General features: G+C 49.5%; 1 protein-coding gene across 55 annotated transcripts in view, besides 1 other annotated feature; it reads right to left on the bottom strand.

Annotated features, from left to right (window-relative positions):
- TACC2 (transforming acidic coiled-coil containing protein 2) overlaps positions 1,474 to 15,345 on the bottom strand; it is a 265,380-nt gene continuing 251,508 nt past the window's right edge. For all 55 annotated transcript variants that reach the window (NM_001291877.2, NM_206862.4, NM_001438366.1 and 52 more), the window contains 5 exons: positions 14,015 to 14,058; positions 7,213 to 7,373; positions 6,860 to 6,966; positions 6,352 to 6,472; positions 1,474 to 2,025 (listed from right to left, as the gene is read on the bottom strand). In NM_001291877.2, coding sequence (NP_001278806.2) covers positions 1,960 to 2,025; positions 6,352 to 6,472; positions 6,860 to 6,966; positions 7,213 to 7,373; positions 14,015 to 14,058 — 499 coding nt within the window. In that variant the 3' untranslated portion in view covers positions 1,474 to 1,959. The remainder of the gene's footprint in view (positions 2,026 to 6,351; positions 6,473 to 6,859; positions 6,967 to 7,212; positions 7,374 to 14,014; positions 14,059 to 15,345) is intronic.
- Positions 9,448 to 10,394: an enhancer, noted in NCBI's record as "H3K4me1 hESC enhancer chr10:124005137-124006083 (GRCh37/hg19 assembly coordinates)". NCBI's record gives its function as "activates a minimal SCP1, AML or CMV promoter by ChIP-STARR-seq in naive H9 embryonic stem cells {active_cell/tissue: H9 hESC(naive)}" and the evidence as "EXISTENCE:reporter gene assay evidence [ECO:0000049][PMID:30033119]".

Below are 15,345 nucleotides of genomic sequence, written 5' to 3'. Positions count from 1 at the left end.
ACCAGGAGGCTGGACCAAGCAAAGGATGCTGGCAGTGGGAAGGAGGCAGTTCCCTACCCTGGCTTAGGTTGCCTGGCAGGTGAGGGTCTCAGTGGCACCAGAGGCAGGCTCTGCTGGATGGATTTCGAAAGTGTAGCAGAAAGAAAACAAAGGATCTCAGAGCATAAAAGACGCCGCGCATCCTGCCCCCCCGCCCCCCAACCCGGAGCAGGCTGCCAGGCCAACAGCACATGTGCAGTCCTCTCTCCTTGGAGCTGTCTGGCACAGCCGAAATTCATCCACCTTATAAATCACAGAAAACACCCCACCCTGTCCCCGAAAAGCTGAGGCTGCCTAAGGCCTGTCCTGTTATGGGTGGGGGTTGTCCTACTGTGAGAGGAGTTGCCCGTAGCCACCGTGCCGAGGCAGAAAGAGGGACAGTCAAGCTCTGGGCCATCAGGGGCTCTCATCTGCCTTCCAAGTTTACAGCCCATACCACACATCCCATTGACACACATGTACCCAAAAAGATATGACTACATCCTAATCCTTCCTACCTGTGAATGCGACCTTATTTGGAAACAGGGTCTTTGCAGATGTAACTGAGGATCTCGAGCTAAGATCATCCTTGATGGGGGAGGGCCTAAATCCAATGCTGGTGTTCTTATAAGAAAGGAGGGAAATCTCAAACGCAGTGAGAAGGTCACGTGAAGACAGAGGCAGAGACTGGGGTGCTGAGGCTACACGCCAAGGGACGCCAAGGAGAGCCAGCAGCTACCAGTTGCTGGAAGAGGCATGGGACAGACTCCCACAGAGCCTCTTGGGGGAACTAACCCCACTGATACTTTGATTTTGGATTCGGCCTTCCAGAACTGAGAATAAATTTTGCTGTTTGAAGCTGCAGATGTCTGCAGTGATTTGTTAATGGCAGCCCTAGGAAATGATCACACCTTTCCACCCCCGACTCCCCTCATCCACCCACCCTTCAACCTGGGAACCCTGAGCAAGTCGGCAGCAATGAAGCGATCTCAGGCCAGGCACACTGCTAGTTTAATCTCCAAAGTGCCCTAATTACCTGCCGGCCACTGGCAATTGTGCACCCTTTCCCAGTGCTTTCTTTAGAGGGGAATGGGGGTTTCAGGTTGACCTTCAAACACTAAAGGATTGAACAGAAAGAGTGGCAGTCTGTTACTTCCTTGACTCAATAAAATGAAATAGATTTGCTTCCTAAAGTCATGAGGCTTTGTAAAAACCAAATCTCAGCTAATCCAGTGCTGAGATTAATTAATTTCCACTTAATTATTTAAGTAGAAAGTCAGTATTTCTCATTAGCTTCATCCTACAAATGCAGCCACGATAACAAAGGAAATATTATTTAAGTCTATGGACAAAGAAATGAGCCCAGACAGAGAAGAGCACGAAGCCAAATCTGGTATTTGACAAAGGTGAGAAAAGACTCAACCCTTCCCAGAAAATAAATTCGAGGCACACTTATTGCCAAGATCCAAAGAAAAAATTTTATTTACAATAGAGAATTTTATTTGAAACATGCATTTCTTGTTTTTTTAAAAACAAATCAGCAAATGCAGATCAAGTTTACACTCCTTAAGGCAAGAGTCCCTATGCACGCTGTACATGTTCATATTAAATCCAAAAGCTGCTCACCCTGGGAACTTGTGTACAAAGGGCAAGGCCAAGGTCAGCAATGTGTCTTTTATTAGAGAATCAGACAATCTCCCTGATACAGGAACTCTGAGGTCAACTTGCTATGAATTATACTAGGAAAATGCAAACCAATAGCAAGAAATTCTGATAGTCTCCTTAGTACTGCATACAATCAAATCAATTTTATTTAGAAAGGAAATACAGTAGTGCATACGAAAAAGTGAAAACAGAACCTGTCCATGGAACTGGAGGAACAGCAGTGTGCCGACGGTCATATTGCACGCAACAGTTAAGTCCAAAACATTCGGTTCAGAGTTAGCTTTTCCCCATTTTGGCAATCAGTTCGTCACAAATCTTGGTGAGTTCTTCTATTTCTTTATTCTGCAAGTGAAGACAAGGAAGAAGTTGCTGATGTTTGAAATCTGGCCAGTCAGAATGCTCATGGGGCTTTTTGGGGAGATGGGGGACCACCAGGCCCCTTGGTCCCCACTAAAGCAGTGAGACAAATGACTTGGAGCCAAACAATCTGAGTATATATCCCAGCTGTAGCTGTGTGATCTTCCACAAGTTACACAACCTCTCTGAGCCTTGGTGTCCTTATCTCTAGAACATAGGTGATAACATGTTTCTTTCTGAGAAGTAAATGAGGTGATAAATGTAGTTTCCTGGCAGTGACCAGCACAGAGTGAAGGACTAACTAGTCTGGTTCCTTTCCCTTTATTTGCCCGGGAAGGATGTGATCTGAGGTGAGGAGCGTCTGGGGTAAACCCCTCGGTGGCTTTTTTGAGATGTAGCATAAGGAGGGTTACGCAGTTCTACGTGAATGGGATCACTGGCATTGCTCAGAGGGATGCCAAATAGGTGATGCTGTGGCTACAGGGTCATGGGGGGTGGGGGGCAGATGCGAGCTGGCTTTAAGGTGATTCTCCCACCACACCTTGCCTGTCTAATCAAGGGGAACCAACCACAGGTTTGTCTAGCACAGATGATCCTACACTGTCCATCTTCTCAGAAAGTGAGGGGATCCAACGGGACGATCCCTCCATCATGGACGTGTGGCTTTGCTTTCAGATAGGTTACATGCTGGCTCTGATGCTGATCAAGTTCAACAGCACGACCGATCTCCAATGGCCTTCTCCAAGGGGGCTGGATCCCTCCAGCATACTGGGGATGTTTTGCAGCCAGCTTTTCCTTGAGATTCCCATGGAAGATCAGTCTTCACCAAAAGCCTGTCCCTGAGGCTGTGCAGAGCCCTTCCCTGAAAACCTCAGAACTCCTGAGACATGTTCCAGCCCAGAGCCACGTGCCCTCTGTTTCTAGGTTAGAACTCCTGGTGTCATTCATCATTGTGTCAGTGCTGGGAGGAAGTGGCTCTCCTCAGTGGAGGGGAAGTTCCAGTCCTTCCCAGCAGCAGTCCCCACTGTGGGAGAAGCCTGCCTCAAACAGAACCCTGGCCCACCTCCTGGCTCAAATTTGCATCTGAGGTCAACAACTCGAGAGAGGCACTGAAATGCCAGCTGGACGATGGGGCTCTGAATGGGATACAGCACTGACCACTAATCTTAAAATTACTATTATTGGCCGGGCGTGGTGGCTCACGCCTGCAATCCCAGCACTTTGGGAGGCCGAGGCGGGTGGATCACCAGAGGTCAGGAGTTCAAGACCAGCCTGGCCAACACGGTGAAACCCTGTCACTACTAAAAATACAAAAAAATTAGCTGGGCGTGGTGGCACACACCTGTAATCCCAGCTACTAGGGAAGCTGAGGCAGGAGAATCGCTTGAACCTGGGAGGCGGAGGTTGCAATGAGCCGAGATTGCGCCACTGCACTCCAGCCTGGGCAACAGAGACAGACTTCATCTCAAAAAAAAAAAAGAAAGAAAAAAAAAACTCTCATTGCCACTATGGCCCCTGCTGGGGCTGCTAACGGTGATCTTCCATCTTATTGGAGTGCCCACCGTGAGCTGCTCACCATGCTGAAGACATCCCAGGCACTCTGGCCTCCCCTGGTTCCCTCAATAGTGCCTTCAAGGAAGCCAGTATTATCCTCATTTTTCAGTGAGGAAATGGAGGCTCAGAGAAGTTAAGGGTTGTGTATAAGGTCACACAGCCAGTCAGATGTGGCAAGCCTGGAACACAAATTCAGGTTGCCCCAGCTCCTATATGGCTTTGCCATTATAACTGTTAAACAACGTTATGTACAGTGACTGATGGCTAAGAGGCATCAGCAGACCCGTTAGAAAGTGATTCCCGGAGGTTTTCCAAGCTCTCTCTTGGCGTCATCAGCCACCACTAAGCAAACTGCCTCATCATAAAGCTCAGCTCATGGAGCAAAAGCCTTTACAGAGCGCTGATTGGGCGAAATGCCCAGCGCCTCCATTCAAGAATTGTCTGGGTGAATCATGTTTCTGAATCTCTTTAAGATGGGACTATCCCCTAGATATCACTCAGGTCTTTCAGGGAAGAACCTGTGTGATTTGTTCATTCCTCTGGAAGTTCAGTTTAAGATAATGCAATTTAAACACCATCAAACCCTGATGGAAATGGGGGAACCATCTCAAACACACACATTGCTACATTTCTCACCAAGAAACATTGTATGTTCAACTGCTACAATAGCCAAAATGACTGTGAAGTATGGTTTTTATTTCTTTATTTTAGAGACGGGGTCTTGCTGTGTTGCCCAGGCTGCAATGCAGCTGGCTACTTACAGGCACAATCACAGTGCACTACAGCCTCGAACTTCTGGGCTCCAGCAGTCCTCCCACCTTAGCCTCCCGAATAGCTGGGACCACAGTCGCATGCCAACATGCCTGGCTTCTAGTATGATCTTTATTTTAATGAAACATTCCATTTTTCAAGTCACCAAATATGCCATACATAGATTATCAAGAGACAAGGAATAGAAAATGCACACTCAACACTAAAACCATAATGATGCTCAATAAATACTGGGTGAGTGAGCAAAAACTTGCACTTGACAGTTGTGACCGCATATGTCGTTCTGAGGATACTGCTAAGAACAATCATCAGAGCCTACAAAACAGGTAGTTGAACATATGCATATTCCAAACTATTTTCTAATGCAATTTTGATATTAAAACTGTCTAGTAGCCATCTGTCTTTTTCATCCTAAGAAGAAAGGTAAAAAATTAAATTAATGTCACACCTATAATCCCAGCACTTTGGGAGGCTGAGACAGGAGGACTGCTTGAGCCCAGAAGTTTAAGACCAGCCTGGGCAACAAAGTGAGACCCCATCTCTACGAAAACAAAAATTAAAAAAATTAGCCTGGTAGGGGGCACATGCCTGTGGTCTCAGCTACTCAGGAGGCTGAGGCAGGAGGATCACTTGAGCCCAGGTGGTTGAGGCTGCAGTGAGCCATGACTGCACCACTGCACTCCAGCCTGGGCAACAGAATAAGACCCTGCCTCAAAAAAAAAAAAAAAAAAAAAAAAAAGAATGAAAATAATGATCTGTAATATGAATAAATTCTGGATAACCAGGAACATCCAATAGGGCACAGGGCCTAGTGGAGACTGGGTGAGTATCAGATATGGACCTCAGGGAAATCCATCTGCCCAACGATACAGGCTTCTAATTTTCAGGGCTAGATGGAACCTAGACACTGAGGTGGGGTGCGAGGCTTGCCCAGGGCCATGACAGATGGTGCAGTGGGGACAGGAGCCCCATTTCTTGCTCCCCAGGGCTCCTTCCCCAACATTACTTAGGTGGAGTGAGGACTGGCACCTGCCCAGGGCAGAGATCACCACTGCTTGGCCCAAATGCCCCTAGAGACCACCACCAACCACAGTGGGCAAAGGAGGACAGCCAATCCCCTGGGGCTGGCTGGGTGCTCCTGCGGTAGTAGAGGCCACTCGGGAGGCACATGGATTTCTGATGCCAACAAAGGATGCCCCATCACTGCCTATCAAGGCCCAAAATGCAAAAATTGTGCTGCCAACCCAGGCTGCTGGGCTCGTGGATGACTACGCAGGGGAACCCCAAGGCTCAGGAAATTGACTGGAAGGAGGCTGCACATCTGGAAATCCTCTCCTTGAGAAACACATCCAAGGAGGGAGGCTGGCCCTCACTCACACACACGCAGTCTCAACAGCCCAACGCTCAGAGGGCCCTCCTGGGCTGAGGGAGCTTCTTATCTGGACACCCAGGGAGACAGTGCTCACAGTGGATGGAGGGGTGCCAGATCCAAAAGGAGGAAACCTGCGCACAAGCTCAGTGTCCTCGGGAAGATCACCCCTGTCCCTGGAATTAGAGGCCACCTGGGCGCCCTTCCAGCCCTGACACTGCTCATGTTCTGCATCAGCTGGCCACCACTGCCAGGGCCTGGTGGGCACCCCATCCACTCACCCAGTAAGCATGCCGGATGCAGAGGTTCAAGGGCTACGCCTAACACATTGTAGGCACTTAATAAATATCCAACAAATAAACGAATGTTGAAAAGGAATGAAAATGGCAGTAAACACACATGCAGGCTGCAGTTCCAGGAACGGTGGAAAGGAAGCTGGTCTTAGGGCTGGCATGAAATTGGAACTTCTAGAAGGAACCAAGGGTATGCTCATGAAGCATGAATTCGTCTTCAGGAGCAGCAGTGGCCAGGGAAGCCCAGCCTGTCTAGCTGGACTGGCCAGCAGCACAGAGAGCAGCAGCCCGGCCCACCTGGAGGCCACACCCCTCCCCTATTACCTTCTGCTCCAGCGTCCTTTCCAGGGCGTCCACTCGCAGCTGCTCCTTCCGCAGGCTGGCCTGGTGGGCGGCTTGCTCCTGCTGGGCCTTGCCTCGAACCTGAGCAATCTCAGCATTGGCCCTGCGGAGACAGGGAGCTCAGAATTATCACTCTTTTGTGGATCACTAGAGACACCTCCTGCTTCCCAGGTCCAGGCAGGGAGAGTGGCCTGGTCTGGCCCCAGCTGCCACCAACTGGAGCTGGAGCACAGGAGCCCATGAGAACACCAAACCCAATTCCATTGCCATGAGACCAAGGTGCCGGGGCACCCTGGACATTGCAACACGCATCCTCCACTGATTAAATGATGCTAACTGTGTGCCTTCTCTCGAGTCTTATTGAAACACACACTTGGATGATGCCCCCTTTCCAAGCCAATGTCACAGGCGCTGCCAGAGGTCCCAGCCTGCCTGGGTAAAAGGGCTGCTGGGAGGCCCCTGGGAGCCACCCCCAGTGGCTAAATGTTACCTGTCCAGTTTCTCCTCCGCGTGCACCTTCAGGGCCTGGTACCTCTGCTCCTCCTTCTTCACCCGGGACAGGTACTCCTGCGCACATCTCTTCAACACCTCTTCATTCTGACACAGCAGGGCAGAGGACAGGCGTCAAGCCCACGAGAACAAATGCCCAGCACTGGTGGGAACCCCAGGAACTCTCGGATGCAGGTGTAACCCCAGGCGGCCAAGTCTGCCTCCCCAGCCTGCATGGACCCCCTCCTCGCAGGTGGCTCAAGACCAACTTCTGGAATCCTACCCCCTCCCAGTGCTCCCACAATCTCTCCCAATCAGATCCTCCTCCTCCGTGGCCCCCAAACTCAGCCCTACCTTGCGGAAGCCTTCTAGGACCTCCTTCATCTTCTCATATCTTCTGAAGAGGTCGGCCAGAGACTTCTCCACGGAGTTCAGGTCGGCCAGGGCTTGCTCCTTCTCCAGAACCAGCTGCTGCACCGTCTGGTGGGAGACTGACTTCTCTCTCTGTTCGTCCTCTGGCAGGAGAGACCAGGAGCCAAATGATGGAGCCCAGAAAGTCCAAACTGGGTCTCTGGGGCCAGCCGAGGCCTCAGATGCAACTCAGCCTCACCAGTGGGGGCATCTCAAACCCCAGCTTTTCCTTGGGACGAACCCACGCCCCAGAGCCCTCCCAGACTGTCTCTAACAGAACAAAAACCAGAGCCCTGGCTTCCCAGACCCGGGCCTGTGCAGCCTCGCGTGAGGTAGAAATGAGCCATTACTATTCCTTAACCTGATCAGTACGGCCCCTTCACAGGTCTATATTGGTGTCCCTGGTGATTCTATGTGGTTGTTGACAGCAAGCAGACAGATCCGTAAAGTAAAAAAGAAGACATCGCTAGTGAATTTTGCGTTGGGACGATTAAAGGGTGTGAGGTCTGGGCTGTGAGGGATGGGCCCTCCTATGTATCAGGACAGAGAGGAGGTCTTTGGAGATCCTTAACACATCTGGAAACCCAGAGCCCAAAAAAGCATCTCCTCTGAAATTCCATTCACGCAGGCACAGATAGCGTCTTCGATACAGCAAGTGTTGTAACTCCAAGAAACACGGAGCTATTTCCGTCAAGGTTAGCTTCTCAGTGATGTACAATATTAATTCAGTGTTGGCTCAGTTCCGAGTGGCTGATCCTGGTGAGAGGAACCATTGTCCTCTGCCCCACCTCTCCGGCCCTTGGCCATCCCAAGCTAATAATCTGCCCCAAATATCTAGAAAATGTATATTTTTAGATTTGGGGCACATGTGCAGGTTGGTTACATGGCCATACTGTGTGACTAATGCTGGGGTACAGATTTCTAATGAGCCTGTCACCCAGGTACTGAGCATAGTACCTGAAAGGCAGGTTTTCAACCCGTCTCCCTTCTACCCCCACTGTGAACTCCCCAGCGTCTTCTGTTCCCATCTTTGTGTCCGTGTGTACCCAATGTGTAGCTCCCTCTTATAAATGAGAATGCTCAGTGTTTGGCGCTCTGTTTCTGCATTAATTCCCTGAGGACAATGGCCTCCAGCTGCATCCATGCTGGTACCTAGGACATGACTTTGTTCTTTTTTTATGGCTGCTTAGAAAATCATTTCTACACTTATGGGAAAGGCCTTCTCTGACTACTCTACACAAAACACCCCTCTGTCCTCTGTGCGGATCCATCCCCGGCCCAGGTGGGTGAGGAACCATTTGCTCTCTTGGTGACAGCAGAGTGGGGAAGGGAGAAGCGCCCACTCAGAGCTCCTGGGGAAGGAGCTCAGCAGACCTGTCTTTCTACCAGGCCCTCGTCACTGGGGAGGGGGCTGCCTGCCACCTGGAATGACTCCGAGGGCTGGCTGCCATAGACAGATCACATCTGGAAATAACAGAACAACGGGAGCCAGCGCTGACTGGACCCTTCCATGTGGCGGGCACCCTGCTGATTGCTCTAGGTGTTGACTGTCCCTAAGCCAGCACTCAGCAGCCAGACTGAGCTTCCTAATGTGCAAACCAGGCCACCTCACTCCTGCTCAGAGCTCCCCCGCAGTGACCTCCCTCTGAAATGGAAATAACACCCAAATCCTTGCCCACATGCTCTGCCCTCTACCCTCCCAGGCCTCTCTGCTCCAGCCACGAAGGCCTCCAATGCCCCAGGGGGTCCCGCCCCAGGGCTTCCAGGGCTCTCCAACATTCTCTCAGGGCTCTGATCCCATGTCACCTCCCCAGAGGTACTGGAAATGGCTCCTCTTCCTCTAGAGTCCTTCATTTTCCTCTTTGCAGCAGCAGCCACCCCTTATCATTGTATCAGATGTGTGCACACATGTGTGCACGTGTGTGCGTGCGTGCCTATGCTGGTGTATCAGCGGCTCATCTCCCTGATGAATGCACGCTCTGTGAGGGCAGGCACCAGAGTCTGTTTTGTCCACTTGCTCTGCCCCAGGGCCTAGGATAGTGCCGGGCATACAGGATGTCTTGATACATGTCCATGCGACGAGTGAACAACTTAGAGCATCACAACCACCCGGGCAGCTTTTCTCACCCTCATTTTACAGAAGGCGGAACAGAGGGTTTGAGAAGCTAAGTCACTGTTCACTGAGAAAATGGCAGAGCCCAAAGCCAAGCCTGAAGCCGTGATCATAACCACGTCTCTACACGGGCCCCATGTAATGACAGACCTTGGAGGATGCAGCTCCCTTAGTAGCAGGGAGATTTTGTTGTATGAGTTTCTTTCCCTTAGGTTCCGGACATATCTGCACCTTGCCATACCCCAGGACTAGGCACACTGTTACCGTGTGGTGTGGTGGGGTCATTTCCTCGGTTTCAGCTCCGGTCCCGACATAAGCTTGCTCTAAAGTTCTGACCTCTTAGGGTCCCAGCACCTCATTTCCAAAAACTCTCCCACGTGAGTGTGGATTTATTCAGCTGAAGGGCTTGTTCACACGCAGGCTGCTACACCCCACCCCACGGCGTGAGATTAGGAGGTCTGGGGTGGGGCAGAGAACGTGCACAGGTCACAAGTTCCCCAGTGACGCAGATGCTGCTGGGGCAGGGACCCTGCTTGGAGAACCACTGGCCCTGAAGATGCCGAATATCCTTCCCACCTGCCTCTGCGATCGTGGGACTCCTAGAGCGCTCACCACCAGCAGCCCAGAGCTGCCCAAGCCAGTGGCTAGGAGCCTCTGGAGCCCAGAGCTGCCCAGGCCAGTGGCTAGGAGCCTCTGAACTGCCTGAGTTCGAGCTCTCACTCTGACACTTTCCATACGAGTGACCTTGAGCAGGGTTTTAAACTCTCTGAGTCTCAGCCTCCTTGTCTAAAATAGGAAGAAAGAGTATTTGTATCTCCTGGCATTTGCAGGAGATTAAATGAGAAAATGTATATAAAGCCCCCAAGAAGGAGGAAGAGTCCCGTATTGGTAACCCATTATTAAGAGCCTCATTGTCCATAATAAACTCTGTGACCCCTGGAATCAGAGCAACAGTGTCACAGTGGCTTGCGAAGAGGGAGCTTTTTAACATAGAATCGCCAACAACCTGCTTGCCACACCCACACTCCTAAAAGAAAGGGCCTTTCAACATGTCTCTAATAATCAAATGCTTGTTTTTATTCTTGGAATTCTGGCTGCTTTCTTAGTTCCCAGCACGCTGTATGGTGTATATTCTGGGCTGATCTGAGCCCATGTGTATGTTTCACCTGACTTGGTAAAGGAGCTGTTTACCAAACCAAGTCCATCTGATTTCCTGGATCCAAGACTTCACCTGCCTCAGGTTTCCTTTCCTCTCAACCTAACCCTTTTTAAAAATAGAATTACCCCGTTCCCAGGAGACGGGGGAGGCAAGAATGCTTCACAAATCCTTTTGTACATGACAAACGCAGTTAGGTTCTTCAAATCAGGAGAAAGACACCCTACACTCAACAACAAAACAATGCTCCTGAAGACTTTTCTGGCTTTTTCAGGCAAAACATCATGAAATCATGTGGGGGGAATGCAGCAATACACAAAGCAAAAATAACAAAAATAGAAAAACAAACAAACAAAGGGTTGCAATGGGCAGGTGTCAAATTAGGGGGAAAAGCGTTTACTTACCAGGCTTGCCTGTTTGTTTTGCAAGCAAAGGGCAAGAAGCAACAGAAAATGGAAGCAAAACAGATAATCAGGGCAGTTGTTAGAAAAGCAGAAAAAAATCAATTGCAACAACCTGGAATGCAGAAAGCACAGAAGTCTCTCTCTCTTCTGAATTCTAAATAGTCACTATGTGAGCTTAACAAAACATATCTCTCCAGTAACATTTGATGCAAATGAATAACAACGGCAGGACTGATGTCACACTGGTGTGGAGCATCTGTGAAAGCTGAATGGAGCAGAGCCAGGAAGAGCTAGACATGTGGGCTGGAGCTGGTTTGACTTCAAAATACGACTACAGTCACGGTGGTCCTGAACTGCCAATCTCTCTGGGCCTGAGTTTCCTCTTTCACAAGGGATGCTGGTTACGTGAGTGAAAATGGAAAGAAAAGCATGGAACCCAGGTGGGCCTCCTGGGCATGTTACCAAGCATGGAGAGACCCTGACCTGAACCGTGCCAGAAAGAAGGCACGTCCTGCCAAGAGCCACAGTGAGTCCCAGCCATGCCTCAGCCCCCTGCTGTCTTCCACAAGGACACAAGGACCTTGAAATCTACGGTGACCTTAGTCAATGACCTGCAACAGTGGCTGAAGGAATGACAACCACAGGCCTGTCACCTGATGAAAAAAGCCTTGGAATGACAGAGGACGGTCAATGGGTGAATGAGGATGGGGATCGGGGAACGGACACACAGTGAGATGCCCCTCTGTGTGGCAGTGCTGCTCCCAGCCAGGGACACTGGAGGAGTCTCAGGGGCCACCCAGAGAGTACCCCAAGGACAGGAAAATGTTCTAAGGGATTGTGTGTACAGCTCTTGAAGAGAGGGCCCCTCAGGCCAAACACATCAGGGAGCAGGGGTGGGGATGGGGGGTGATGTGTGGCCCTAACCCCTGGCACCAGGATGAGAGGAAGGCAGGTGGCATTCTCTCCAGGGCTTGGAGGGAACTCACACTGCCTAGGATTGAAAAGGTCCTCACTGCTGTCACCTGCAGATATTCTTTGAGGAAACCGTGGGAGTAATCTTTCTGTCATGACAAGGACAGGACATTTATGCCAACTAGAGAAATTCTCCACTTTTAATTTTCAAGAGGGAATGTCTGTTTATATCAACTTCGCCAGCTGAGCAATAAAAGATGGCTTGGGTAGCTTTCTCTCAGGAGCAAAAGCTCACACCCTTTCCCCCGCATTTCAACATTTACCAAAATGTCATCACCAAGGGCAAAAATGAAAGTGTATGGCTCTGAGATGGAGCAGGATGTTTCCAGATGAACTATGGAGGGCCTGAGTGATGTTCTCAAATCCCAAGACTCCAGGAGGCCAAAAAGTTGTGTTCTACTTGCCAAACACCACATAAGGAAGACATCAATCCCTTAGCCTGACCATTTTTGCCAGCATTTTCAACTCCAAGAGTTTTTTTTTTTATCTTATCCATATGTGTTCATAAATTCTTATACCAATTTAATAAAGAAGTTTCACTTTGATAGGAAGCATGCACCATGAGGCTAAACATGAAAGGGCTTCTTTTCTGGGTGAAATGAACTTTGTTACAATAAATCAAAATTGAAGCTCCTTTGAATGGAAAGCACTCAATTGTTGGCCTCTTCACTCTTCCTGAGGCTACTATTATATTTACCTTGGGACAAGCTAGAGGTGTGATGTGACTCATACATCCATATGCTTGGGGGTGGGGACCAGGTGCCAGCACAGTGTCAAACTTGGACACATAAAGCGTGGTCTGCAGTGACCTGGAGTTTTTACTCCATATATCCTTAGAAGAAAAAAAACTGGTTATCGGGCCAGGTGCAGCGGCTCACGCCTGCAATCCCAGCACCTTGGGAGGCCGAGGCAGGTGGATCACTTAAAGTCAGGAGTTCAACATCAGCCTGGCCAACATAGTGAAACCCCGTCTCTACTAAAAATACAAAAATTAGCCAGGCATGATGGCAGATGCCTATAATCCCAGCTACTTGAGAGGCTGAGGCAGGAGAATTGCTCGAACCTGGGGGGTGGAGGTTGCAGTGAGCCAAGATCGTGCCACTGCACTCCAGCCTGGGTGACAGAACGAGACGGTCTCAAACAACAACAACAAAACTGGTTATCATGGGCTGGGCATGGTAGCTCACGCCTTGTAATCCCAGGACATTGGGCAACCAAGGCAGGAGGATCGCTAAACCCCAGAAGTTTGAGACCAGCCTGGGCAACGTAGCAAGACCCCATCCCAAAACAAACAAAAAATGGATTATCATAAACCTAAGCAAATAATTAATTAATTTTAAAAAAATCCCACAGACCCAGTTATAATATGATTTCTGAATAGTGACCATTAGCATAAAAACTTGGGCTTAGAACTTCTGCAAGATCTTTTCTCATTATTTAAAAAAAAAGAAAAGAAAAGAAAAAAAGGCCCAGGGATGTGTAGCTTATAACTTGAGGCCTTCTTTTATTGTGAGCCAAAGCAAATTTCTCAGTACTGGCTGCCAGGGACGCCGTGTTAAGAAGGATTCCGAGGCAGCGTCCAATCTCAGTGAGAAACAGTGCTGGGGTCAGTGAACAGGGCCTGCCATGGTCACGGGAGGAAGGAGGCGGACAATCACGCCGTGGTCCACTGTCCTTGTCCCTGGGTCCTTGTGGAAAGGCTGAGGTGTCATTTGAGTCTAAACTAAGTTAGGGTCTAGGGATTTGATTCCTATTATCTCCCACAAGCGAAAAGAAAAAATCCCCCAAATATCCCACCCAAAAGGAATCTCTTTCCCCACAAAGTAGAGAGTCCTTGGCTGAGTCAGATGGTGGCTGGCAGGTGACTGCCATGGCTTTCCATGGGTGTGAATAATGCTATGGCACAGTTCAGGGGGGTGTTACCAAGAAGCCCCAGACTCTGTCCTGGGGCAAAGCCATATTTTCTGGAATGCTCTGGTCCTTCCCTGAAAGGCTTCACGCTCTACCAGAAACCCACTCTGAGCCTCCTATCTTCCAAGGCCTCCTCATAGTTCAGAAACATCGGGGCCGGCCTGAGCCCCCGCAGGTCAGGACACCTACCTATCATCTGAGCGATGGTCTTCTCATACTCGGCCACTATTTTCCTATAAGAGAAGTAAAGACACGTTGGAGTCATGACAACAGAATGGTTTTCCATCTCACACAGCTGGACGCCACAGCCTGACCCATGTCCAGCAGGGCCCCAACTTCCAGGGTCACCTTCAATGTCAGCCCTCGCCCTGCACGCTCATTTTCCTGGTGCGTGACTCTAAATATGCCACTCCCTTGTGCAAAGCCTTCAACATCCCTCACTGCCCACTAAGAAAAAAAATCAAACCAGGTAGAGTGGTGCATGCCTGCAGTCCCAGGTATTGAGAAGGCTGAGGCTGGTGGATTACTTAAGGCTAGGATTTTGAGACCACCTTGGGCAACACAGCCAGATCCTGCCTATACAAAAATGAAAAAAAAATTAATAAGGCATAGTGGTGTGCACCTGTAGTCCTACCTACTCAAGAGGCTAAGGCAGAAGGTTTGCCTGAGTCCAAGAGTTCGAGACCAGCCTGGGCAACATGGTGAAACACCATCCCTACAAAAAATACAAAATTAACCAGGTGTGGTGGTCTGCGTCTGTGATCCTAGCTACTCGAGGGACTAATGTGGGAGGATCACTTGAGCCCAGGAGTCTGAGGCTACAGTGAGCTATGATTGTGCCACTGTACTCCAGCGTGGGCAACAGAGCGAGATTCCATCTCTAAAAAAATTTAAAAATTAAAAATAAAGCCAAACCTCCAGCCCGACAACTGAGGTCTTTGCAACCTGGGCCCAACCTCCCTCATCCATCTTACCTCCTTCCACACCACGTCATGAACACAGTGGCTCAGCGAGAACCAACGATTTCTTGTTTGCTCTCGGCCTTCTCATCCCCATGCCTCTGCCCATGTTATTCACTTTCTCTCTATTTCTACCCCTCACAGTCTGTTTCTCAAGGTCCAATTCAAATGGTGTCTCTTTCAAGAAGCCTTCCTTGATTTCTCCTTGGAACCCTATTACCTTTTATCCGCATCTTCTTCCAAAGCATCTCATGCATCTGGCATCACTGAACACAAATCTCATCTCCTACTGGCCCAGAGTAAACTTCTTGGGAAGCCTCAATAGACAGTAACTGCACAAAAGCACTAAGATCCCCTGTTTGTCATACTGCCTCCCAGCTGTCCCCAAATGGAAGGACTGATGTGTGAAGACGTCCTTTCTCCAAAGCCAATCTGCTGGAAGAAACTTCTCAAAAAGAATCAGGGGTTCACCTACATTATCCAATAATTATTCCCCACAAGAGAACCAAGAGCGGATAACTGTTGAAGATCCAGGACCCTAATGACAGAAAACCATAGAGA

Source organism: Homo sapiens, chromosome 10, assembly GCF_000001405.40.
Source record: "Homo sapiens chromosome 10, GRCh38.p14 Primary Assembly".
Lineage (NCBI taxonomy): Eukaryota > Metazoa > Chordata > Mammalia > Primates > Hominidae > Homo > Homo sapiens.
Note: the sequence above shows the minus strand (reverse complement) of the source record. Positions and strands in the feature narration are given on the sequence as shown.